This window comes from Homo sapiens, chromosome 11, assembly GCF_000001405.40.
Source record: "Homo sapiens chromosome 11, GRCh38.p14 Primary Assembly".
Taxonomy (NCBI): Eukaryota; Metazoa; Chordata; class Mammalia; order Primates; family Hominidae; genus Homo; species Homo sapiens.
Window position 1 is genome coordinate 47,589,471 of NC_000011.10, and position 25,794 is coordinate 47,615,264.

At 50.4% G+C, this 25,794-nt stretch overlaps 2 protein-coding genes across 6 annotated transcripts in view, besides 1 other annotated feature; both read right to left on the bottom strand.

The window, feature by feature from the left end:
* On the bottom strand, positions 197–5,834 carry C1QTNF4 (C1q and TNF related 4). Of its 2 annotated transcripts, XM_017017166.2 has the most exons (3): positions 5,695–5,834; positions 4,678–4,861; positions 197–1,345 (listed from the first exon to the last, which is right to left on the bottom strand). In XM_017017166.2, exon 3 carries the CDS (start codon positions 1,338–1,340, stop codon positions 351–353), a length of 990 nt encoding a protein of 329 aa, XP_016872655.1. In that variant the 5' UTR covers positions 1,341–1,345; positions 4,678–4,861; positions 5,695–5,834; the 3' UTR covers positions 197–350. The 2 variants fall into 2 exon arrangements, with proteins under 2 accessions (XP_016872655.1, NP_114115.2); NM_031909.3 differs by lacking the exon at positions 5,695–5,834 and having other exon boundaries at positions 4,678–4,941.
* A 9,012-nt stretch (positions 5,835–14,846) lies between these two features.
* The window catches only part of MTCH2 (mitochondrial carrier 2), a 38,243-nt gene continuing 27,295 nt past the window's right edge, over positions 14,847–25,794 (bottom strand). For all 4 annotated transcript variants that reach the window (XM_047426700.1, XM_011519960.4, XM_011519961.3 and 1 more), the window contains one exon: positions 14,847–16,784. In XM_047426700.1, coding sequence (XP_047282656.1) covers positions 16,686–16,784 — 99 coding nt within the window. In that variant the 3' untranslated portion in view covers positions 14,847–16,685. The remainder of the gene's footprint in view (positions 16,785–25,794) is intronic.
* Positions 22,415–22,464: an enhancer, noted in NCBI's record as "active region_4701". NCBI's record gives its function as "activates an Ori minimal core promoter by ATAC-STARR-seq in GM12878 lymphoblastoid cells {active_cell/tissue: GM12878}" and the evidence as "EXISTENCE:reporter gene assay evidence [ECO:0000049][PMID:35858748]".

Below are 25,794 nucleotides of genomic sequence, written 5' to 3' on the forward strand. Positions count from 1 at the left end.
GGGATATAAAAGGGAGGCCCCCAACGGACTAGGCGAATGTGGTTCCATCAAATTCCCACCTCCTCACCCTCCCAGGGTCCAAGGGGACCTTGCTTTCCAACCTCCAACCCCTTCCCCGGGCCTGCGGGCCCGCAGTAGTCAGCACCTTCCCGCCTGCCGCCGGCGAATGCGTCGCAGTCAAGACAGCGCAGGGGCCTGGGCTGCCGGGCGCTGCGCGTGCCCGCTTTCCGCTTTATTGGCAGAGTCCAGGCGCGCCCGGAGGCCGTGGCGCTCGCGCGGGACTTTCGAGCCTCCGGCCCGGCCTGGCATGCACGCCCCTGGCCCTCCCGGGCTCTTCTCTGGCCCGGGGCTCACAGTAGCTCCGAGGCCCCGAGGCCCGGCGGGGCGGCGGGGGCGAGGTCGGGGTACACCAGGAAGCCGGAGAAGGTGATGTACTTGCCGTGGTTGCTGTAGGCGCCGTAGCCGTCGTGGTCGTGGCTGAGCAGCCAGACGGCGTCGCCGCGCCGCAGGGCCAGCATCACGCTCTGGCTCTGCATCTCGCGGCGCCGCGACGCGCCGTCGTCGTAAATCATGGCCTGCACCTCGTCGCGGTTCTTCATCAGCTTAACCGACAGCGTCTTACGCGGCAGCTTGCCCAGCGTGAAGGAGAAGAAGTAGGCGCCGGGCAGACGGCAGCGGAACACGCCGGCCGCCGCGTCGAAGTCGCCGCCAATGTTGACGAACTCGGTGTCGAAGGCGAGTGGTTGGTGCCGCGGCCCGGGGCCAGCGTCCGAGCCCACCAAGCTGCGCGTGCGCGCCGCCGAGAAGGCCGAGCGCGGCTCGGGGGGCGCGGGCGGCCCGCGCGCAGGCGCGTCAGCGTCGGCGTCGGCGTAGACTAGGTAGCCGCTGAAGGTGGCGCCGGGCGCGCCTAGCGCGTACTGCGGGGCGCCATGCAGCCGCAGCCACACTGTGTCGCCGTAGTCGAGCTGCAGCATGGCGCTCTGGCTGGCTGCGCGCCGCGCGCCTGGCCGCCGCTGCTCGTCGAAGGCCAGCGCCTGCACCTCGTCGCGGTTTCGCACCAGCATCACCGACAGGCTCTTGTGCGGGGCCTTGCCAGCCGTGAAGGAGAAGAAGTAGGCGCCGGGCACGCGGCAGCGAAACTGGCCGGTGGCCACATCGAAGTCGCCCCCGATGTTCACGTACACCTTGTCGAAGGTCACCGCCATCTCCGACGTGCCCTCCAGGGGGGTGGTGCGTGCCGCCGAGAAGGCCGAGCGCAGCTCAGAGGATCCCGGGCCGGGGGTCGGGCCCAGGGCCCAGCAGGCCGCTGGGCCCAGCAGGCCCAGCAGAAGCGGCAGCATGGCGCCTGGGAGGGAGACGGAGGGGCGAGAGTGGAGTGTTGGCAGGGGCGGCTTCCAAACGCCCGGCTCTCCACCGGGAGACAAGGGTTCTCTTCCCAGCCCTGCCCTTGACCCACAAGTAGGTTTCAATTTTCCTACATCCTTGGATTCTCAAACTCTAGCGAGCCTCACTGTCACTTGGAGGGCGTGTTCAAACATACATAGTTGGGCCCCATCACCAGAGTTCATTCAGTAGGTCTGTGATGGGCCTGATAATTTGCATTTCTTTGTTTTGTTTGTTTGTTTTGAGATGGAGTCTCGCTCTGTGAACCAGGCTGGAGTGTAGTGGCACGATCTCGTTTCACTGCAACCTCCACCTCCCGGGTTCAAGCAGTTCTCCTGCCTTAGCCTCCTGAGTAGCTGACATTACAGGTGCGCACCATCACGCCCAGCTAATTTTTTGTATCTTTAGTAGAGACGGGGTTTCACCATGTTGGCCAGGCTGGTCTTGAACTGACCTCAAGTGATCCACCTGCCTCAGCCTCCCAAAGTGCTGGGATTACAGGCGTGAGCCATCGCGCCTGGCCTTGAAACCCCGCCCCCCCCCCTTTTTTTTTTGAGACGGAGTCTGGCTGTGTCGCCAGGCTGGAGTGCAGTGGCTTGATCTCGGCTCACTGCAGCCTCCACCTCCCAGGTTCAAGCGATTCTCCCGCCTCAGCCTCCCAAGTAGCTGGGACTACAGGCTTGCACCCAGCACACCCAGCTAATTTTTGTATTTTTAGTAGAGACAGGGTTTCACCATGTTGGCCAGGATGGTCTTGATCTCTTGACCTTGTGATCCGCCTGCCTCGGCCTCCCAAAGTGCTGGGATTACAGGCGTGAGCCACCGCGCCCGGCCGAAACCCCTTTCTTAAGTGAAAGCTTGAACACAGACTAGCAGAAACACTCTGGTTAAAGAGGCCTACAGCCCTGTCTGCTGGGCTTGCCCCTACACCTCCCATTTGACACTCAGGGGCCCTGGTAACCCGGGGGATTCAGGGGAGTCTCTGAGTTCCCCTCAGCTCCAGTTGGCTGCATTTTCCTGTGGTTATTTTATGGTCCTTGGTCTGCCACTCACGCAGGCACTGGCTCTCTGTGTCAACGCTCTGCATGACCGTTACTGTTTAAGCCCCATCTGAGCAGGAAAGGAAATCGCTGCTCCCTGACCCCTTTCCTGGCCTCACCAGGGGCCCTTCCTGCACAGAGGAGGCGAGAACAGTTGGGCTTTGAGGTAGCTTCCTCCCCCTTGAAATCAGAGTAAAAGAGAAGGTGACTCCTTTCTCTTTGCTTGGAGGCTGGTTACTCAGAAGAAGGAGTGGCGAGCCAGGGGCTACTGGGGATGGACAGGGACAGCAACAATTCCAGCAGGGCTTTGGCAAGGCTGTGAAGTCAGCAGCTTTGTTCCTTGGGAGTGATGGATTGGAGAGGACAGATAGCCAGATCTGGGTTCAGGTCCTGGCTCTACCACTCACACTGTGAAACCTTGGGCAGGTTCCCTAACTTCTCTGGGCATGGCTTCCTCCATGTAAATGGGGAAGAGACCTCACACACAGGCTTGCTGTGGGGGTGTGCTGAGATAGGTGTGAACATGGTTTGTCAACGGCAGTGCTGAGGTGTGCAGATGCTTCTGTCGGTTGCCCTGACAAAAGTGATCTGGTCCAGTTCTTGACGTAAGGGTTTAGGGACTCAGTCACTCCTACCCCTGAGAGCTTGGTGAAGGCACTGCTTAACTCAAAGGAGTCACTCTCTGATGTAGGGATTCCATCCTGCTTCCTAGTAGGGCACGTGCTTTGGGGCTTGAATACCCAAAAGCCCTGATGTGGAAACAAAACAGGAAAGAAATGAGCTGGAGACAGCCTGGGATGTGGGCTGCTTTAGAAAATGCCCTGTATGTGTAGCTCTGTGTCTCTTAGAGACAGCAGGGACCTGCTGAGAAGGGTTGTCAGGTGTAGATGTGCAGAACGTCCCAGCTAGAATCTAGCTCACACTCCACATGTTAGAGCAGCACCTGGCGTAAAGTATGCCACCTTCTCATTCTCATACTAAAGACCCCAAGTTGCTAGCCAACTGAATGCTGTCTCCTTCCAGAGGAGGTGCTTTTTGTAATTCTCACAAAGGTGTCCTATGGATTAGTTAGGTGTCCCTTGGTTAGGACAGGGAGGAGGGAAGGGGCCATCCACAGTGGTGAAGATGGCACCTCACAAGTGTCCAGTGCATTCCCTTTTACAAAGTTCTTTTAGACACATGGTCTTGGCAAACCTACAAGACAGGTGGGCCGTCTCCCATTTTATAGATGAGAAAGCTGAGGCCCAACAAGGGAAAGCATTTTGGCCCAAGGTCACCCATGGAGCACTGAGGTTTTTTGACTCAAATTCCGTATGCCTTCCTGTCACTCTTCCCTCCTAGACACAGGTATGTCCAGCCAATTTGTTCTGTGCCTCAGTTTACCTTTTTGCAAAACTAGGAGAGGAGATCAGAGGAATGAGTCTTGGGATCCAGGGTGAGGAAGACAGAAAGCAAAACCAAACAAAAGCAAGCAAACACATTCTCTAGTGTTTTGTCTTCTGGGAACACGGAAAACAGCTCAGCTTTTCCATACCGCTGCTTTCCTAGTGGGTCCTGCCCCAGAAGCAGCTGCCCAGCAACCTCCTGACCAAGGCTGGTGCACCCCACCAGTGCCAAGGGTCTTCCTGTGCACCCAGTACCCAGCCTCCGTTTCACCCACACTGCCCAATTCCCAGATCCCTGGATCCTCGTCCTTCCCTGAACCCCCTTCCCTGAGCAGGTCAGAGGTGTGGGAGGGTGTGTCAGGTGGGTGTCATAGCTCCAGGGAAGGAAATGGCTGTTCCTGGCTCTGTCCAGGTGGGGTTCAAAATAGTCATCTTCAAAGAGAAAAACTGGGACACAGAGCTGGAGAGACCCAGAGCCCCGGAGCCAAGGCGGGAGGTGCAGCGATGTCAGGCTGAGGGGATCGCAGAGTTCCCCCTTGCCCTGCCACTCACCAGTTAACCCTTCCCTCAAGCCCTGCCAGAGCCCCCTCCCCAACCTACCTTGAAAGCCCCTCATCCTTCCAAGAAGTCCCACTTTCACAGAAGCCAATTAATCCTTATTTTTAAAAAACAAAAACCAATCCCTCTCCCCCGAGACCTTCCCTCCATCCATCCATCCCTTTGGAATGAAAGCCCTTGTGCCTGTTTCACGAAAAGGCTCCCAGGTCCTCCTTTCAAGGAAAAAGGACCCAATTTCCCCGCGCCTCCCCAGCCCTCGCTTCCAGTAAAGGGGGAACCTCGGCTCCCTGCCTCCCCTCAGCTGCCCTCACCTGGCTGGGGGCGGCGGTCGAGTCGGGTTCGGTCTGAGCCCGCGATCTGGCTCCGGGCTGCGGGCTGCGGGCTGCAGGCTGCAGGCTGCGGGTGCCGGGCTGCGCGCTGACCGCCCGCGCTGCGGCAGGGGCGGCGGGGGCTCCGGCTGCTTTTCCCGGCTCTGAGGCGGCAGCGGACAGGGTGCTGGGGCCAGGGGCCGGGCGTGGGGAGGCGTGAGGGAAAGGGAAGGTCAGCTAGAGAGGGAGCCGAGCGAGAGCGAAGAGGCGGGGGAGAGACGGGAGGGGGAGAGGAGGGGAGTAGGGGAGAGGGAGGGGCGAGCTGCGGGGCCTAGGGGCTCCGCACGGAGTCTGCGCCGAGCACTGGACCCTTCCTCATCTGTGACCTCCTTAGAGCTTCGTCCTCTGGGTCTAGAGAGCAGGCATCATTAATCTGAGCAGTTGGGGAAACTGAGGCCAGAGGCAGCAGCTAACGCGGGGTGGCCCAGAGCGCTCTACAGTCCAGCTTCCTTCCTAGTGTGGGGAGAGAGGGCTAGAGCTGGACTCAGAGGCTGGACTAGCCTTTGGGCTGCAAGGACAGTGGAAGGTGAGATTTTGGCTGGGACAGATGTCCAAGCTAAGTGGCCTTGGGGGAGAGGTCTGAAGGAAGAGAAGGATAAATGGGTCAATGTTGCCAGTAAAGGAAGAGCTGAAAATAACCTAGTTTTTCCTCCTCACCTCCAAATTGGAAAATGCCCACGGTCGGTTAGGAAAGAGGGAGAAGGGAGTCTGCAGGCATCAGAGGGGCAGCCTGCGTTCCCCGGGGTGAGGGGCAGTAAGGAGGAGAGTCCTTGGGGCAGAATGGAATTTTCTGCTGGGAAGGTTGCTCCTGCAAGAAGGGACAGGATTGAGAGGGCAATAGGTGGGGAAGAAAGGCCTCTGGAGAGGGAAACTGATGCCCTGCCTCGCTGGGGCCAGGCTAGCAAGAGTCCAGCAGGGCACCCGGGCTGGGAACAGCGGTCTTCCCATGGTAATACTCACCAGAGGCACTAGTGCTGGCCTCTACTCTGGGCTTCGAGCCCGTGGGATGGGGGCTCAGACTCCCTTTCTCTAGGCTGCTGTTCTCTCCCCTGACGGCTGTAGAGGTGACGACACTGCCTGGCACTCAGTAGATGCTGACTGAGTGGATGACTTTTGAAGAGCTCTACTTTCAGCAGCCAAGAGCTGGTGCCCTCTGCCTGGCCCTGGTTGACTCCAGAGCCATGGGCTCTAATTCTGCCTCTGCTGCAGGTCTGCTCTGTGGTCCCTGAGAGGCCTGGACCCCTGCAGAACCCCCGTCCTCTGGAGCTTTCCTTTTGGAGCTCTCAAAGTTTACCCCACCCCAGTTAATCTATTTGTCTCTAGGAAGATGTTGGTAGAGGTGATTGGCTCTGCTTCAAGGGTGTTAGGTGAATGATGGAATGAATTAACGAATATGTGCCAGAATAGAAAGGAATGAATGGAGGTGTTTTGGGCTGGATAATGAGGGTATTTGGTGACAGAGGGTGAAGCACCTGTCTAGCCCTTGTCAGATCACAACTGTCTCTTTCACCAACTTGAAAAGCTTGGGCCACAGGACTGTGGGGAGGACAAGAAGCAGGGTAAGGGTGGGATGAGCCACACAGGGATGTCGAAGGAGAGCTGGGGGATGCCAAAAGCCAACCTATGGCAATCTATGGCCCTTCTTAGGGCCATGGGCCCCTTCTGGATGAGAAGAGTGGAGCTGCTCTCCTGAGGGTGATTCCAATGGTGGGAGGGGAGGGGAGGGGAGAAGGTATATTATAGGATAATATAATCTCAGTTGAGGTTTGGTTCAGGCTGGGATTTGACACTCCCTGGATCCACAAGAGTTCTCACCAGAGAAGTGAGGGTTGAGGTAGAGATGGGTGGCTGGGGCAGATGACATCAGGATTTGCATCAGGGGACTGGGATAGGGAGGAAGCCACTGGGAAAGGGATATAGAGAAAGATGATGCCATGAGCTGGTGGGTGTAAGGCAGATGGGTGGGCTCCAGAATGGGAGTTAAGAAGAGGTGGCAGCAGGATCCAGAGAAAAGCCCTAGGCTGGTTATAGTCCCTGCTCCCTCCTCTCTTGTTTTGCAGCCACAATTTTATTTATTTTTGAGAGAGGGTCTTGCTGTGTCACCTGGGCTGGAGTGCAATGGTATGATCTTGGCTCACTGCAGCTTTGACCTTGCGGGCTCAAGTGATTCTCCCACCTCAGCCTCCCAGGTAGCTGGGACTACAGGTGCAGGTCACCATGCCTGGCTAATTTTTTTTAAAATTTTTTGTAGAGACGAGGTCTCACTCTGTTGCCCAGGCTGGTCTTAAACAACAATTATTTTATTTATTTTTTAATTGAGACGGGTATGGCTGGGCATGGTGGCTTACGCCTATGATATTAGCACTTTGGGAGGCCAAGGTGGGAAGATCGCTTGAGCTCAGAAGTTTGAGACCACTCTGGGCAACAGAGTGAGACCCCATCTCTCTCTCTCTTTTTTTTTTTTTTTTCTGAGACAGACTCTCGCTCTGTTGCCCAGGCTGGAGTGCAATGCTGCGATCTTGGCTCACTGCAACCTCCGCCTCCCGGGTTCAAGCGATTCTCCTGCCTCAGCCTCCTGAGTACCTGGGATTACAGGAGCGCGCCACCATGTCCGACTAATATTTTGTATTTTTAGTAGAGACGGGGTTTCACCATGTTGGTCAGGCTGGTCTTGGAACTCCTGACCTCGTGATCCGCCCGCCTTGGCCTCTCAAAGTGCTGGGATTACAGGCGTGAGCCACCGCGCCCAGCTGTCCCCATCACTTAAAAAAAAAGTTAAAAAAATTAACATTAAAATATATATAAATTGAGACGGGTTCTTTTTTCTTTTCTTGAGATGGAGTTTTGCTCTTGTTGCCCAGGCTGGCGTGCAATGGAGCAATCTTGGCTCACCGCAACCTCCCGCTCCCAGGTTCAAGTGATTCTCCTGCCTCAGCCTCCTGAGTAGCTGGGATTACAGGTATGCACCACCACCCTGGCTAATTTTGTATTCTTAGTAGAGATGGAGTTTCTGCATGTTGGTCAGGCTGTTCTCAAACTCCTGACCTCAGGTGATCCGCCCGCCTCAGCCTCCCAAAATGCTGGGATTTCAGGAGTGAGCCACTGCGCCTGGCTGAGATAGGTTCTTACTCTGTCACCCAGGCTGGAGTGCAGTGGCACGATCTTGGCTCATTGCAGCCTGGGCTTAAGTGATCCTCCCCCGTCAGCCTGCCACCACGTGGCAGCTAATAAACAACAATAATTTTTATTTATTTTTATTTTTTGAAATGGAGTTTCACTCTTGTCACCCAAGCTGGAATGCAATGGTGCGATCTCGGCTCACTGCAACCTCCGCCTCCTGGGTTCAAGTGATTCTCCTGCCTCAGCCTCCTGAGTAGCTGGGATTACAGGCGTATGCCACCACACCAGGCTAATTTTTGTATTTTTAGTAGAGATGGCGTTGGCCAGGCTGGTCTTGAACTCCTGACCTCAAGTAATCCACCTGCCTCGGCCTCCCAAAATGCTGGGATTACAGGCGTGAGCCACGGTGCCCAGCCAACAACAATAATTTTAATAGCAGGTTCCTTTCACTGAGTGTAGTAGATGCTGTCAGTGGCCCACCCACACCTCCAGGCCTACCAGGAGGGCACCCACAGACAGTTCCTGACCAGGCGCCTACTTCCTGTGTCCCTCCTGAGGGCATTTTCAGCTATGGGAGTTAGTGTGGGGCAGGCCCAAAGGGCTGTAGAGTTAATACCCCCAGAGCAACCATCAGCCAATGGTCCAGAGTTAGGGGTAAATACCCCAGCTTTCTGGTCCCTCGATGGGAGCATTCCAATTCCCAATTCCAGGTCATGTTTCAGACTCAGAGAGACTCCAGCAGAGTTAAGTTCTCCATGGTGAAAACCCACTGGTATCTGTGCGCTTTTTTTTTTTTTTTTGAGACGGAGTCTCGCTCAGTCGCCCAGGCTGGAGTGCGGTGGCGCGATCTTGGCTCACCGCAAGCTCCGCCTCCCGGGTTCACGCCATTCTGCTGCCTCAGCCTCCTGAGTAGCTGGGACTACAGGCGCCCGCCACCACGCCCGGCTAATTTTTTTTTTTGTATTTTTAGTAGAGATGGGGTTTCACTGTGTTAGCCAGGATGGTCTCGATCTCCTGACCTCGTGATCCACCCATCTTGGCCCCCCAAAGTGCTGGGATTACAGGTGTGAGCCACTGCGCCCGGCCTATCTGTGCACTTTATTCTGTTTCCTCTCTTTGTCTCATTTCCCCGCTCGCTCACTCCGCTTCTTGGGATCACAACTCTCTCCTTCACCAGCTTGAAAAGCTTGGGCCCCAAGACTATGGGGAAGACAAGAGGCATGGTAAGGGTGGGATGAGCCACACAGGGATGCCGCAGGAGAGCTGGGGAAGGCTGGAAGCCAACCTAGGGCAGCCACAACCCTTCTTAGGGCCATGCAGCCCTTCTTAGGGCCATGTGTCCCTTCTGGATCAGAAAAGTTAATGCAGGAGTAGGATTTAAACTCAGAGCTATCTGGCTCCCAAACCCAGTCCTTAACCAGTATACTCTGCAGCCTCCCTTTCTCTGATTCTCTCTCAGCCTTTTTATTTTTATTTTTTAAGACAGAGGCTGTAGTGCGTGGTATGATCTCAGCTCCCTGCAACCTCTGCCTCCTGGGTTCAAGCGATTCTCCTGCCTCAGCCTCCTGAGTAGCTGGGACTACAGGTGTGCACTACCACACCCAGCTAGTTTTTTTGTATTTTTAGTAGAGACAGTTTCACCGTGTTGGCCAGGATGGTCTCGATCTCCTGACCTCGTGATCCACCCACCTCGGCCTCCCAAAGTGTTGGGATTACAGGCGTGAGCCACCGTGCCCGGCCTGAAGAGGCTCTTTCTAAATAATGGTGAGGATTTTGACAGGGTGAGATGGAAGTGGAGATGGAGGAGTGAGGGGGTGGGATCCAGTCAAAGATAAGAATGTGAACCAAGGTGAGGAGGTGGCGTAGGTGGAGCTTAGGGAAGGAAATGTACCAGGCTTGGTTGTGGATAAGGGTTTGTGATGGGAAGTTATGGTAAGGAGTGTGGGGCTTAACTGCTGAGCTAAGGAGCTTTTACCTTACAGTAGAGGAGAAGAAGGTGTGCTCAAAGCTGTATTTTAAGAAGATTACTCTGCAGATTGAAAAGCAGGAGAAAGAAGAGGGGAGAGGAAGGCAGATGGGTGAGAAGATACTGAAAGTGTCCAGATGAAAGTAAACTATCCAGGGGCAGTGAGAAAGGAAGAGACAGATGGGAGAGGGACTGAGAAGAGAGATTCAGAGACTGACAGAGTGAGCACACAGCTCACAATTTAATTAGCTTCCTGCTTTGCCAGTGGATTACAGGGAATTAGCAAAGCTCACAGTCTAGGGACCTTGCTGGGAGTTGAGGGGAAATTAATGAGAAAGACAACAACATGCCCCAGGGAGAAATGAAAGAGGAGGAATGTTAGCCAAGCAGAGATGCCAGCAGGAGAAACATACGTCTGGGCGCTGAGTCCCTGCCTTTCTCGGAGATTTCAGCCCTCCAGGGGAGCAGACTTTAGGGTTCCTGGTCACGCTCCTGGCCCCATTGCCCTTGGTTCCAATTCCTCTGAGCACTTGGTAAATGACCCCGGAGAGGGGAAGCTGGGAGTGCTTGTGAAGACCAAGTTCCCAACTCTCCCCTGGCCTTTTTCCCAGCAGGGCTCTAAGATCCCAACACTGGCCTTCCTAGAAGGCAGAACTGAATCCCCTGGGCCCCTTCTGCAGATGGACCAGGAGGTGACCTGCTCATGACCTGATGTGACAAATTGCATTTTCAAATGCGACAGTGTCATCTCCCATCCCACTTGCTCTTCTTACAATGTGACCTTGCCAGTCCTCATGAAAAGGAGGAGTTACGTTAGGTCATTGAAAGGTGATGCCGCTGCTGCCTGGATCTCTCTCTTGAAACCCTCATCCCTGGAGCCCAGCCATCAGACTGTGAGGAAGCCTAGGTCACATGGAAAGGCCACGTGTAAATATTGTGGCCAACAGTCCTAGTCAGGACCAGCTACATCATTTGCAGAGTCCAGTGCAAAATGAAATTGTGGAGTGGCTGGGCACAGTGGCTCATGCCTTTAATCCCAGCACTTTGGGAGGCCAAGGCAGGGAGATCACTTGAGGCCAAGAGTTTGAGACTGGCCTGGCCAACATGGCGAAACCCCGTCTCTAAAAAAAAAATACAAAAAGTGGCCAGGTGTGGTGGCTCACGCCTGTAATTCCAGCACTTTGGGAGGCCAAGGCGGGTGGATCACCAAAGGTCAGGAGCTCGAGACCAGCTTGACCAACATGGTGAAACCCCTTCTCTACTAAAAATACAAAAATTAGCCAGGTGTGGTGGCACGTGCCTGTAATCCCAGCTACTCAGGAGGCTGAGGCAGAAGAATCGCTTGAACTTGGGAGGCAGAGGTTGCAGTGAGCCGAGATCGCACCACTGCACTCCAGCCTGGGCAACAGAGCAAGACTCCATCTCAAAAAAAAAAAAAAAATTAGCCGGGCATGATGGCACTCACCTGTGGTCCCAGCTACTCGGGAGGCTGGGGCATGAGGATCGCTTGAACCTGGGAGGCAGAGGTTGCAGCAAGCCGAGATTGCACCACTGCTCTCCAGCCTAGGCGACAGGGCAAGACCCTGTCTTAAAAAAAAAAAGAAGGTGGAGGGTACTGTTAAAAAGTTAAGAATTTAGAGCTTTAAACCAAGCATATGGCTCTTCCAAGTGTGGCACCTTGCTCAGCCATGCAAGTTGTGGGGCCACGAAGCTGGCCCTGGCCCCAGCTGCGGTACCAGCATCACTGCAAGTGATGTGGATGTGAGGAAGCCTTCAAGAGGACACCAGGCCTGGCCTCTGACTGCAACTGTGTGAGCGGCCCTGAATGAGAACTGCCTAGCTGAACCTAGTACTCCACCAGACCCACAAGGAATAAAGATGATTGTTGCTGGGCTTTTTGTTGTTGTTGTTTGTTTGAGACGGAATCTCACTCTGTCACCCAGGCTGGAGTGCAGTGGCACGATCTCAGCTCACTGCAACCTCTGCCTCCCGGGTTCAAGCAGTTCTCTTGCCTCAGCCTCCCGAGTAGCTGAGATTACAGGCGCCTGCCACCACACCCGGCTAATTTTTTTTGTATTTTTAGTAGAGACGGGGTTTCACCGTATTGGCCAGGCTGGTCTTGAACTCCTGACTTCAAGTGATCCACCTGCCTCGGCCTCCCAAAGTGTTGAGATTATAGGTGTGAGCCACCGCGCCCAGCCGACTGTTGCTGTTTTAAACCAGTAAGTTTTGGGTTACTGTAGCAACAGAGAGTTGGAACACTGGGGTAACCAGACCTGATCAAAACTGGCTGAAGATGCAGGACAGCCACCAAGTTTCTCCCCATACCCAGGCTCATTCCCTGAACTGTTGTTGCATGTTCTCCTTGACCCATGTTAGCAGAAGACATTGGAGGCACAAATAACTCCAGACTGACAGGAGACCCAAATCCTATGTCTGGCTATGGAATGCTGCACATTGACACCAAGATCTGCACATCTTTGGGGACAAAAGTCAGCTTTTCAATTGGAGAGGTTGGAGAAAAAACCCACTCTTCTGTGAGCTGAAACAGTGGTAGTATTGGCACTGGCAGGAGACAGTGTTTGGGTCTCCATGGCCTGCAGGAAGGGAGAAAAGGAAGGCTGTGTCCTGCCAAGGTGAGTAACAGAGAGAAGCCCTGTGGCTTTTTTTCTTTTCTTTTCTTTTCTTTTCTTTTTTTGAGACAGAGTCTTGCTCTGTTGCCCAGGCTAGAGTACAGTGGCGCAATATCGGCTCACTGCAACCTCCGCCTCCCGGGTTCAAGCAATTCTCCTGCCTCAGCCTCCCAAGTAGCTGGGATTTCAGGTGCCCACCACTGCACCCCCGGCTAATTTTTGTATTTTTTTAGTAAAGGCGGGGTTTCACCATCTTTGCCAGACTGGTCTCAAACTCCTGACCTCTTGATCCACCTGCGTTGGCCTCCCAAAGTGTCCACCCACCTCGGCCTCCCAAAGTGCTGGGATTACAGGCATGAGCCACCTTGCCCGGCCAGCTTTTTTTTTTTTTTTTTTTTTTGAGACAGGGTCTCACTTTGTTGCCCACGCCTGCCTTGAACTCCTAGGCTCACACAATCCTCCTGCCTCAGCCTCCCAAGGAGCTGGGATTATAGGTGCATGCCACTACGTCTGGTCACATTCTGATTCTGACTGGTGAGGGGTTGTGTTGAATTGCTTTGTCTGTGTTCACCCCAGTGTAGTGCCTGCCAGAGTGTAGGTCAGAAGAGTCCTGAGTGACTGGTGAGACAACTTGAATGTAAACATAATCTACAACCCAGTTGAGTAACTGCTGGAGGAGGAGGGAAGGGGGCAGGGAGAGGCTTATAGCAATTTATCATTGCCCCCTCAGTTTTTTGTTTGTTTGTTTGTTTTTAAGACGGAGTCTTGCTCTGTCGCCCAGGCTGGAGTGCAGTGGCGCGATCTCGGCTCACTGCAACCTCCGCCTCCTGGGTTCATTCTCCTGCCTCAGCCTCCCGAGTAGCTGGGACTACATGCGCCCGCCACCACGCCCAGCTAATTTTTTGTATTTTTAGTAGAGACGGGGTTTCACCATGTTAGCCAGGATGGTCTCGATCTCCTGACTTCGTGATCCGCCCGCCTCAGCCTCCCAAAGTGCTGGGATTACAGGCTTGAGCCACCGCGCCTGGCCGGGGTGCCCCCTCAGTTTTTAAAAGAGTAGGCAGAAATACAAACCAGAAAGTGTGGGAGGATCACTTGAGCCCAATAGGTGGAGGCTGCAGTGAGCCAAGATGGCACACCTGCACTCCATTCCTTGTGGGCTGGGTGGAAATTAGGAAGAGAAATTAATTCTAAGTGGAGCAATGCAGCTAGGCTTAATCAGAGAGGTAACACCTAAACGAAGCAGTGAAGGCTGCACTGGACTTTGACAGGTAACAATAGACTGAAGAGCATTCTGGGAGAAAGGAGCAGGGAGCAGGAGGTAACGCTCTTAGGCAATTCAGAATCATGGTGAAGAGTAGTGTCTGGCATCAGACTGCTTCAGTTTGAATCCCAGCTTCTTCATTATTTGTATGACCTGTTTCCCCACCTGTGAAATGGGGATAATAAAAGTATGCCCCATTGCTGCAAGGATTAAAGACATTTAGCACAGAGACTGGTATACTGTGAGCACTCAGTATGTGTTGGCTGTTACTACTGTTTGGTGTGTTTGAAAAATGAGTAATAATATCGGTGTGGCTGCAGTATGGAATGTGGAGCTACTGATGGGAGATAGGCCCAGAAAAATGTGGTTGAATCCAATCATGAAGGATTTTTTATTTATTTATTTTTATTTTTTGAGACAGCGTTTCACTCTGCTTGCCCAGGCTGGAGTGCAATGGTGTGATCTCAGCTCACTGCAACCTCCGCCTCCCGGGTTCAAGAGATTCTCCTGCCTCAGCCTCCTGAGTAGCTGGGATTACAAGCATGTGCCACCACGCCTGGCTTATTTTGTATTTTTAGTAGAGACGGGGTTTCTCCATGTTGATCAGGCTGGTCTCGAACTCCGGACCTCAGGTGATCTGCCCACTTTGGCCTCCCAAAGTGCTGGGATTACAGGCCTGAACCACCACACCCAGTCTCATGAAGGATTTCAAGTGCCAGCCTATGCCATCCAGACTTTATTCTGGAAGCCAGGGGATGCCGATGCCAATCCTGTCAGACCAAACTTATAAGTATTGTGGGCTGGGCGTGGTGGCTCATGTCTGTAATCCCAACACTTTGGGAGCCCTAGGGTGGGAGGATTACTTGAGGCCAGGAGTTCGAGACCAGCCTTGGCAACATGGTGAGAACCCCGTCTCCACAAAAAAAAAAAAAAAAGAAAAAAATTAGCTGGGCTTGGTCGCACACACGCATAGTTCCAGCTACTCAGGAGGCTGAAGTGGGAGGATTGCTTGATCCCAGGAGGTTGAAGCTGCAGTGAGCCATGATTGCACCACTGCACTCCAGCCTGGGTAATAGAGCAAGACCCTCTCTCTCAAAAAAAAAAAAAAAATTATAAGATGCTATTGTTATTATTTTTACCTCTCAAACTGTCAAAGATCAATGAGGTTTATTATACATTCTATTGGTGAGATGTAGAGAAACAGACATTCATACATTTTTAGTAGGAGGGTAAAATGACACAATTGGACAGTATCTACCAAGTTTAAAAATGTGCATGCCCTTTAAGTCAGTGATTTTACTTCTTGAAGAGATGTTTTTCAGATACATGCCCACTTGTTGGGAATTACATCTTATTCATTTTAGCATGGCTTGTAATAGCAAACAGTTTGTAATAGCAATGACGTGTTATTTATTGCAGCATTGTTTGTAATAGCAAAATACTGGAAATAATCTACATGTCCGGCAAAAGGACCAATAAATTATGATACATATATACAGTAGAATACGATGCATCCCTACAAAAGAATGAGGAATCATTTTGTATACTGATGAAATAATCGCTAAGAAATGCTGTTAGTTAAGTGAAATAAAAAACAAGGTGCACAACATACCACCATTTATGTGAAAAAATAAAAAGCATGCATTTGCTTATGTGTACTTGGAATGAATACCTCTGAGGGGATCTATTAGAAACCATTAACAGCAGTTGCTGTTAATATGTCTCCCATATTTTTCTTTTTTGTTTTTTTTGTTTTTTTTTGAGACGGAGTCTTGCTCTATCTCCCAGGCTGGAGTGCAGTGGCGAGATCTTGGCTCACTGCAAGCTCCGCCTCCCAGGTTCACGCCATTCTCCTGCCTCAGCCTCCCGAGTAGCTGGGACTACAGGCGCCTGCCACCACGCCTGGCTAATTTTTTTGTATTTTTAGTAGAGACAGAGTTTTACCGGGTTAGCCAGGATGGTCTAGATCTGACCTCGTGATCCGCCCGCCTCGGCCTCCCAAAGTGTTGGGATTACAGGTGTGAGCCACCGTGCCCGGCTGTCTCCCATATTTTTCACTGTTTCACCCCTTTGTAACTAAAATAACAAGAGGTGGGGAGAGCCACTATCTTTTTAAGCAGCTGCTCCATTCCTACCGGTTTCTATTCAACCTGAGATCAGCTGCAAGCCCTTAGCCTTTTTCTCAGGCACCTCTGGCAAACCAAACTTCCTATATCCTATGCTTATGCAGCTGATTTTTTTTTTTTAATCTAAATGCAGGTCTCTCCACTTACTCTTTTAAATTTCATCCTGCTGGTTTCAGCCCACTGTTTCAAGTTATTTTAGAATCTTGACTTTGAAATATTAGCTTTTCATCCCAACAGTGGTGCCTTCTGCAAATTTGGCAAGTGTAGTGGGCACTGACCACTACTAGGCTGACCAGGGTCTAGGAGCACAGAACTAGAGATACTTCCTCAGCAAGCTCTGCAGCAATCGGATAACCAACTGGGGTGAAGGAGCACAGCAGTTACATGAATCCACCTGACTGGGCAGTCTCTGAGATCGATATTTTCCTACTAGCCTCTTCAATCGTGAGACAATCAATGTCTAACTGGAAACAAGGAACACTATGTATGGCCCAAGGAATTTTCCTAGTGGCCTTCTGAGTAAATAAGTAACAAATTATTGTTGATATTTTTATCATTTTCGCCGCATCTTGTTCTTTGTGAAGATACCACTTATTTTTCTAGGTGTTCTCAAGCAAGGTGTTCTCAAATCCATGGTTTAATGTTATATTCTAGAATAGATTTTGAGGGAAATGTGCCCAGGATCTCCCTTTTCTTCTTTTTTGTCAGGGTATTTGCAGCTGTCCAGGACTGTGGCCCCTGTCCTTTTCGCCGCAGCTTTCATAGCCACATTGGCAAAGGTCCCTGGATCTTATCTGCAAAGGTCTGTCATCACCTTGGGATTTGCAGCTCATTTTGAATGGCTAGGTGGTTAGGTTTTCTCTTATCTTTTCTTCTATTTGGGGTTTAATGTCCTCTAACCCCTGTTTTGCTGAACTCTTCCCAGTCTGGAAGTGCTTTTCCTCGGGGGAGAAAGAGGAAAATCAGAGTTGAGTATTCTGCTTTCTCTGAAAACTGCCAACCTGACATCTTCATCCCCAGATGGAACCCTGTCTTCTCCTTTTTCCTCTTGCTTGAACATAACCAGCAATATCTTTTATTGTCTGCACCTTTTCCAAGTCTCAGTTTATCACGGACTTCACCTTTCCTTCCGTCTCTTGTACCCCACCTTTTAAATTTTGAACTTATCAGAGAGCTCTCTACAGAGCCACACTGGTTTCTTTGGCTCTCCTTTTCTCTGCACAGGGATTTTCAGCAAATGCGATAGCCTAATTTATCCCAGAGCTTCCTATCCCTCTTGTGCCATATTGCCATCTTGTCTCTAAACTTAGAATCATAACTTTTTTCTAACTTTTCAAATCATTTTTCTGGGATTATTTATTTATCCAATCATCCATTCATCCCATGCCCACATGCCCTTCCTTCCAAATCCAACTTTCTCCTTTGGTTCCTGTCTCATCAACAGCACCAGGGGAGTCTTTCCCCATCAGAAGGAAGGTTGGGGGAGCAGCTCCCTGGCAGCTTTTTCTTCCAGCTGAGAGGAAACTGTCATTGATGAATGTGAAGAGTTTATCAGCCACTCAGCGACTAGCTGGGCGAGACTGTAGTTACCAGGACAGGGCAGTCTCCAGCTCAGTGCCTGCTGCTCTCAGAGCACGTCAGGCAGTCAGATGTGTGCTTCCCTGGGGACACGACTTCCACGAGCTCATCTAGCAGTCTCACCCTCAACACCTGGTTTCCTCCAATTTGGCAGTGTGCTGTGGTGTAAAGCTTGCAGGATGTGGACTCCAATATACCCAGGTTTGCATTCTAGTTTTGCTATTTACTAGCAAGTCACTTAAATCTTTATCTCTGAGCTTCCATTTCTCTCACTTAAAAAGTGAGAAAAAGTGGCTATTATCAGGCTCATGGGGTGATTGAGCTGACATATGTATGTACCTGTGCATGGAAGGTTTCAAACACACCAGCTTCTGTGCTCAGCTTAGCTTCATGGAGTCTCACGTGTCACATGTTCTGGGTGAACTGTTGTTTTTTTCCCTTTCTATTAAAACTGTTTCTTTTGGACAGGGTGTAATGTATGTCTTTGCCCAGTGAACCTTCCTTGGATGAGCCATGCATCCCACTAGAAAACAGTCCAGCTCTGAGAAGAGTGTGGGGGCGGAGGACAGGAAACAGAACAGAACAGCAGAATGTATGTGGTTCTGGGGCTGACCCTGGACCTCTACCCCTTCAGATGGGCCTGTGACTCAGGCCTGGCTAGCGTCTCCCAGACACACCAAATGCTTTACAGATGGGTGTGTGTTTCAAGCCAGAGTCCTCCTGGGGATTTTTGCTGGAGCTCTCCAAAGTGATTTTGCTCTTTCTCTGGAATCACAAGCTCTAAGAAGCCATGTGAGTGGAGCTGCCAGCTGGCATCTTGTTGCCATGTGGAGAGCCCGTCGGAGAGGGAAACCAGCCGAGGGGTGGGAAGACCGAATCCCGATGCCCTTGTTTGAACCCCCAGATTCACCACTGGCCATTTTTATTACTTGAGCCAATGTAGCCAGTTTGAGTTGGGCTTCTGGGCATCTAACTAACTGTTGAGCATACAATGTTGATCCTTTCATTATTATAATAAAACCACGAGTTCCCTCCTCTCATTAAGATTCATACTTCACTCTTCGTTAAAATCTGTGCTCCGATCATCATGCAGAAAAATACTGGGACGCAATGCATGTGCGTGCCATATTAGAAATTCCAGATTTGCAGACCCATATCAGAATCTGGGCTTTGCTATTTACCACCAGTCTTGGGCAAATCAATGAACCCTTCTGAGTCTCACTTTTCCACTACTAAAATGGGAGCAGTATTTAGCTTATATGGCTGTTTTATGGGTTGGAGCTAATGGCGACATGGGCAGGGCACATGGTGAGCCATCACTAAATATTACTAGGTGGTAGGAACATTTATGTTATGTCAGTAGCTTTGACTCTGACTATGCTGAATCTATATAATTCCTACACTTTGTTCCATGTCACATCTCTTAGCTACCATGGTATCCAGGCTTATGGTGGCTTTGACCAAGGAGAGGAGAAGAACTTGCAGGCTTTTGAGAAAGATGGGAGATGAGGAGGTGGACAGAAATTTCAAAGTTCGATTGGGGGAGATGATGGAATTAGTCTTGTTTAAAACACTTGTGACTGCAGAACTTTACACCCACTTTCTATTTATAAATAGCCCTGTCTCTCAGCTCAGCTCCTCCTGCACAAGGCTTCCGTGGAAGACAACAGACACAGAGAGCAGCTGCCAGTGCGGCACAAATGTACAGAGCAGAGGCTGTTGGGGAACTGGGGCTGCATGTGGGCTTGGGGCGGAAGGATTAAAGACGCTAGGTCAAGAAATCTTGGCCGATTGCGGTGGCTCATGCCTGTAATCCCAGCACTTTGGGAGGCTGAGGCAGGCAGATCATGAGGTCAGAAGATCAAGACCATCCTGGCTAACATGGTGAAACCCCATCTCTACTAAAAATACAAAAAATTAGCCGGGCGTGGTGGTGGGCACCTGTAGTCCCAGCTACTTGGGAGGCTGAGGCAGGAGAATGGCGTGAACCCGGGAGGCGGAGCTTGCAGTGAGCCGAGATCGTGCCACTGCCCTCCAGCCTGGGCGACAGAGCAAGACTCTGTCTCAAAAAAAAAAAAAAAAAAAAAGTAGGGTGTGGTGGTGCACACCTATAATCCCTGTTACTTGGGAGGCTGAGGCAGGAGAATCCTTGAACTTGGGGGGCGGAAGTTGCGGTGACCTGAGATCACGCCATTGCACTCCAGCTGGGGTAACAAGAGCAAAACTCTGTCTCAAAAAAAAAAAAAAAAAAAAAAGAAAAAAGAAAAAAAAATCTCAAGGAGCCCGGGCGCGGTGGCTCACGCTTATAATCCCAGCACTTTGGGAGGCCGAGGCGGGCGGATCACCTGAGGTCAGGAGTTTGAGACCAGCCTGGGCAACATGGCAAAACCCCGTCTCTACTAAAAATACAAAAAATTAGCCGGATGTGGTGGCAGGCACCTGTGATCCCAGCTACTCTTGGGAGGCTGAGGCAGGAGAATTGCTTGAACCTGGGAGGTGGAGGTTGCAGTGAGCCAAGATTGTGCCACTGCACTCCAGCCTGGGCGACAGAGTGAGATTCTGTATCAAAAAAAAAAAAAAAAAAAAAAAGCCAGGCATCATGGCAGGTGCCTATAATCCCAGCTACTAGGGAGGCTGAGGCAGGAGAATCACTTGAACCCGGGAGACGGAGGTTGCAGTGAGTTGGGATCGTGCCACTGCACTCCAGCCTGGGTGACAGAGCGAGACTCTGTCTCAAAAAAAAAAAAAAAAAAAAAAAAAGAAAAGAGAAGAAAAGAAATCTTAAGAAACCTGGGTCAAAAAGCAGTATTTTATCCTCTGCCAGAAGCCTGTGTAGGTAGAGGAGAGTCATGGCCATCCTCTGTACCCTGGTCAAAGATGGTAGAACTCCAGCTTTATCTACTGCCTACTGCCTTGAGCTGGCAGCAGGAAGACAAGATAGAGGCTGCAGCAACAGCTGAGCAGAGATGATGCCTAAAGGCGACGGGAAAGAAAGGGAGGTGACAAATTCAGAGGCGTTTCTGAGAATCCAGCAGTGATTTTCTAGAAGCAGAGGGAGGGGTAGGGAGGACACAAACTCATCTCCAGGGTTTCTAGCTTGGGGAATAGGGGCATAATGCTGTGTTTATAATAGAATTTAGAGTGCAAGTACCACCACAGGCTTGGGAAGAGGGCTTGAGATGTAACTCAGTTTGGGGATCCTCAAGGACATTCAGTGGATATTCAGTGGATACAGCTAGGAGGCAGCTGACTTTGTTCAACACACATCTGTGGAGTCTCTACCATGTGCCAGTCCCTGTTCTAGGTGCTCATTATATGGCAGAAATCCAGCTTTGAAGAAAGGTTAGGACAGTAAGAGATGCAATTCCACTTGCCTCCAAATGCTTTAGCCTTTACTAACGCCGTAACTTTGCCCATATTATTGTCTATACTTGGAAAGTAGCCCCTCCCTTCTAATTCTTAAAATTCTAATAACTATCACATACCAAATATTTACTCTATGCCAGACATGGTACTAAATCTAATACTCTAGGGTGGGCATGGTGGCTCATCCCTGTAATCCTAGCACTTTGGGAGGCCGAGGAGGGTGGATCACCTGAGGTCAGGAGTTTGAGACCAGCCTGGGTAACATGGCAAAACCCCGTCTCTACTAAAAATACAAAAGTTAGCCGGGTGTGATGGCACGTGCCTGTAATCCCAGCTACTCAGGAGGCTGAGGCATGAGAATCACTTGAACCCAGGAGGCAGAGGTTGCAGTGAGCCGAGATCGAGCCACTTCACTCCAGCCTGGGCGAAAGGGCAAAACTCCGTCTCAAAAAGAAAAGAAAACTGTAATGAGTATTACTTTGCATTCTAGACATGAGGAGCCTGAGGCTTAAAATGACCAACTTTCCCAAGGTCTCACAGCTAGTGACAGCTAGAAATTGCTGCCATCCCATCATCCTGCCACCCAAGATCCCCACTATCCTGACAAAGCCACAATCGGAGCCGCTTCTTCATGAAGTCTCTGATCTCCCCAAATGGATGTAAGCTTTCTCTCTGTGCATCCCATGGTGCTTGGTTCCGGCTTCTCATGCCGTATCCTGCTTTGTAGAACCATCATCAGAGAGTGTTAAAAGAGCTTCAACGAATACCTTCTTTCAGGGCACCAGGCCTCACTGTTGTACATATGGTTTCACTTAATCCTCCAATACTCCTAGAGTTTTATGTTCTTGTCATTCTGCCTCCCTGTCAGTGGACAGTAAGCGCCAAAGAGGACAGGGAGATTATAGGCCTTTGCATCCTCTGCTGCCCCTCGCACAGAACTCTGCCCAAGCTACTCACTTAATGACTGACAGTTGCATTTATAAACTCTAAATGTGAGCCCCTCAGGGGGAGGAAAGGCATGAGATTCCAGCAAAAAGTGAGCAGTCTGAGGTGAGGCATGGTTCTGTTGTTTCCATCTTCACCCTCTGTCTTTTTTCCAGCCAAAGGACACTCTCACCAGTCTGATGCCAGAAGGGCAGGGCCCCGGCTAGATGGCCAGCCAGAGTAGGTGCAGTGCTGGCTTGTCCTTATCCAACCTCTGGCTCTTCATGCTACTCTGTGTGGAAATAAAAGCAATACCTAATAGATTTTCCATGGAAATGTGGCACTGCCAGGGAATAGTCCATTCTCTTGGCTGCCTTGGCGAGGCAGAGGCTGGTGTTACAAACTTTTCTTTCGTCCACGTGTCATCTTGGAGACTTGGAGAGAGGACAAGATTTGTTTCCTTATTTGCTGCCTCTCAGGAAGCTGCTGAGTCCTGAATAACATCTGCAGGTCACACTGGTTTCTCTTCCTCTTCTTCCACTCTCTCAAGTACCAACCTCTAACCGTATTGTGGTATGGTACTGATCGGAATCTACTTAAAAACATTCTTTTTCAGAGTTGCAATAAGATGATTCCAGAGCAATTACAGTTTTCATGCAAAATCTGCTTAGTTCCAGACAAGAGATTTGGTGCCCAGAGTACAGAGGACTCTACTTAGACCAAGGCAAGATGGGCTCTTTGCAATTCCATCTTATAATCATGGGACACTGGCGACCAGAACACTTAACTCATGCACTGGAAGGGGTCTCCCTAGGACCTCTCTCTAGACAGCAAATGTATGAGGAAGCTGTCATATGGGGAAGATTGGATAGAAGGAAAACTTTCACTCACTTTAGAAAATTAATCCTCATTCTTAGCCAAGATAGTCTCCTGAAAAGAAGCTATTTTTTGGCCAGGCATAGTGGCTTACACCAGTAATCCCAGCACTCTGGGAGGCCTAGGTAGGCAGATGGCTTGAGTCCGGGAGTTCAAGACCAGCCTGGGCAACAATATAGCAAACCCTGTCTCTACTAAAAATACAAAAAAAAATTAGCCAGATGTGTGGGCCGGGCGCGGTGGCTCACGCCTGTAATCCCAGCACTTTGGGAGGCTGAGATGGGCGGATCATGAGGTCAGGAGATCAAGACCATCCTGGCTAACACAGTGAAACCCCGTCTCTACTAAAAATACAAAAAAATTAGCCGGGCGTGGTGGCGGGCACCTGTAGTCCCAGCTACTTGGGGGCTGACGCAGAATGGTGTGAACCTGGGAGGCAGAGGTTGCGGTGAGCCGAGATCGTGCCACTGCACTCCAGCCTGGGCAACAGGGCAAGACTCCATCTCAAAAAAAAAATTAGCCAGATGTGGTGGCGCACACTTGTAATCCCAGCTACTTGGGAGGCTGAGGTGGGAGAATCATCTGAGCTTGGGAAGTGGAGGCTGCAGTGAGCTGAGACTGCACCACTACACTTCAGTCCAGCCTGGGCAACCAGAGTGAGACCCTATCTCAAAAAAAAAAAAAAAAAGAAGTGCTAATTTTTGGTTGGTGGTAAAAGAATCTCTCACTGGCAACTTCCCCTCCAGGGCAAAAATCAGAGTGCAAGATTCTGACTCCTTTCAAGTTTAAAGGGAAAAATAAGATGAGAGATGAATAGAAGGGGGAAAAATATAAAATGAGATGTCACATGTGACTTTTTCCTTTAAGTCAAGATCTTGCTCTGTCACCCAGGCTGGAGTGCAGTGGCACAATGATAGCTCACCGCAGCCTCAAACTCCTGGGCTCAGGTTTCTCTGGCCCCAGCCTCCCAAGTAGCTGGGACTACAGATGTGTTCCACCATGCCTGGCTAATTTTTTTTTTTTTAGTTTTAGTAGAGACAGGATCTCACTATGTTGTCTAGGCTGGTCTCAAACTCCAGAACTCAAGTGATCCTCCCACCTTAGCCTCCCAAAGTGCTGGGATTGGCTGGGCACAGTGTTTTTGAGACTGTCTCAAAAACAAACAAAACAAAACAAAACAAAAAAACACAAAATGCTGGGATTACAGGCATAAGCTACTGCACCCAGCACTTGTGACTTCTTTAGGAAAGCCTAAACAGAGCTCTGAAAAGGAGGTAAGACAAATATCTTTGTATTTAAAAAAACAAAAACAAAAATGCCAAAATAGAAACTACCATGCCACCTTGGGAGGCAGCCTGAATGAACCCATCCATTCTGCAAGGATGTTTTAGAAGCACCCAGTAGAGGTGCTGACACATAGATCAGTTTCAAGAAATGTTACCAGCCAAATGTCTTAGGAGTTCTACTACACTGAACTAATGGTACCTCTAGGAAGATTTCTTCTCTAGGAAGAAATCCTTGCCATACAGTAACTTAGCTTTTCATCTATATAAACCATCATAATAGTCTAGAAAAGTAATGGTGATCATTTCTATTTTCAGTTGTTTCCGCTATTTATAATTCTGCAGAGGCAAGATCTGTCTTTCCTTATTTAAGACCATTCTACTCTGTTGGGAGCTTGTTCACTGCTTTGACTACAAATGCAGGCCCACTTTCCTCAGATGGATGGCTTACATAACATTTGGTTTGGCTGGGCACAGTGGCTCATGCCTGTAATCACAGCACTTTGGGAGGCCCAGGCAGATCATTTGAGGTCAGGAGTTCAAGACCAGCCTAGCCAACATGGTGAAAGCCCGTCTCTACTAAAAATACAAAAAAATGAGCCGCGGGTGGTGACATGCACCTGTAATCCCAGCTACTTGGGAGAGTGAGAAACGAGAATTGCTTGAACCCAGGAGGTGGAGGTTGCAGTGAGCCGAGATCAGCCACTGCAAGACAGAGAGAGACCTTGTCTCAAAAACAAACAAACAAACAAACAAACACAAAAACACAATGTGGTTTACTGGCTACAATTTTAGCATTTTATAGCCTCCACGAAAGAATAAAAATGCCTCGACTGGCTTCATGTCCTGGAAGAATTATTAAGGAAAAAAAAAAACCTTGGAATTTGATAGACCCTGGTTTGAATTCAGCCCTGAAAATTCCTGACTATGATTTCGAGTGAGTTGCTTAATTAGAGTCTCACATAAAACGAGGATGCCTATCCTACCAAAAAATCATGACAATTAGAACTTCTACAACAGGCTTGGCAGTCACTACTAACCAATCTGTTCTCCTGTCTTGCTCCCTTATCTGCCACAGTACCTTAAAATGACCACCTACAATTACTACCACTTGACCAGCTAGTTTTTCTTTTTTCTTTTTTTTTGAGACGGAGTTTTGCTTGTTGCCCAGGCTGGAGTGCAATGGCACCATTTTTGCCCACTGCAACCTCCGCCTCCCACGTTGAGGCAATTCTCCTGCCTCAGCCTCTTTTTTTTCTTTGAGACAGTCTTGCTCTGTTGCCCAGGCCGGAGTACGTTGGCGCAACCTTGGCTCACTGCAACCTCCACCTCCTGGGTTTCAGCGATTCTCCTGCTTCAGTCTCCTAAGTAGCTGGAATTATAGGCATGCGCCTCCATACCTAATTTTTGTAATTTTAGTAGAGATGGGGTTTCACCATGTTAGCCAGGCTGGTCTCGAACTCCTGGCCTCAAGTGATCTGCCCACCTCGGCCTCCCAAAGTTCTGGGATTACAGGCGTGAGCCACCGCACCCAGTCTTTTATTTTAATATACATTTTAAAGGCTAAGTGAAGCAGTGGAAAGGGAGAAGGAAAAAAAAATCTGTTAACTGGTTGTGATCAACTAGTTGCAATACTGCTGCACTTAGACCAGCCACGACCCCACTAGCTTTTCTATAAAGCCCAGTGAGGCTTTTTTTTTTTTTTTTTTTTTTTTTTTTTTGGCTCTCAGTTGACACCTAGGCTGGAGTGCAGTGGTGCGACCATAGGTCAGTACAGCCTCAACCTCCCAGGACTCAACCAGTCGTCCCACTTCAGCCTCCTGTGTAGCTGGCACTACAGGTGCACACCACCAAGCCTGGCTAATTTTTAAATTTTTGTGTTGAGAAAAGGTCTCACTATATTATCCAAGCAGGCTGTTTTAGT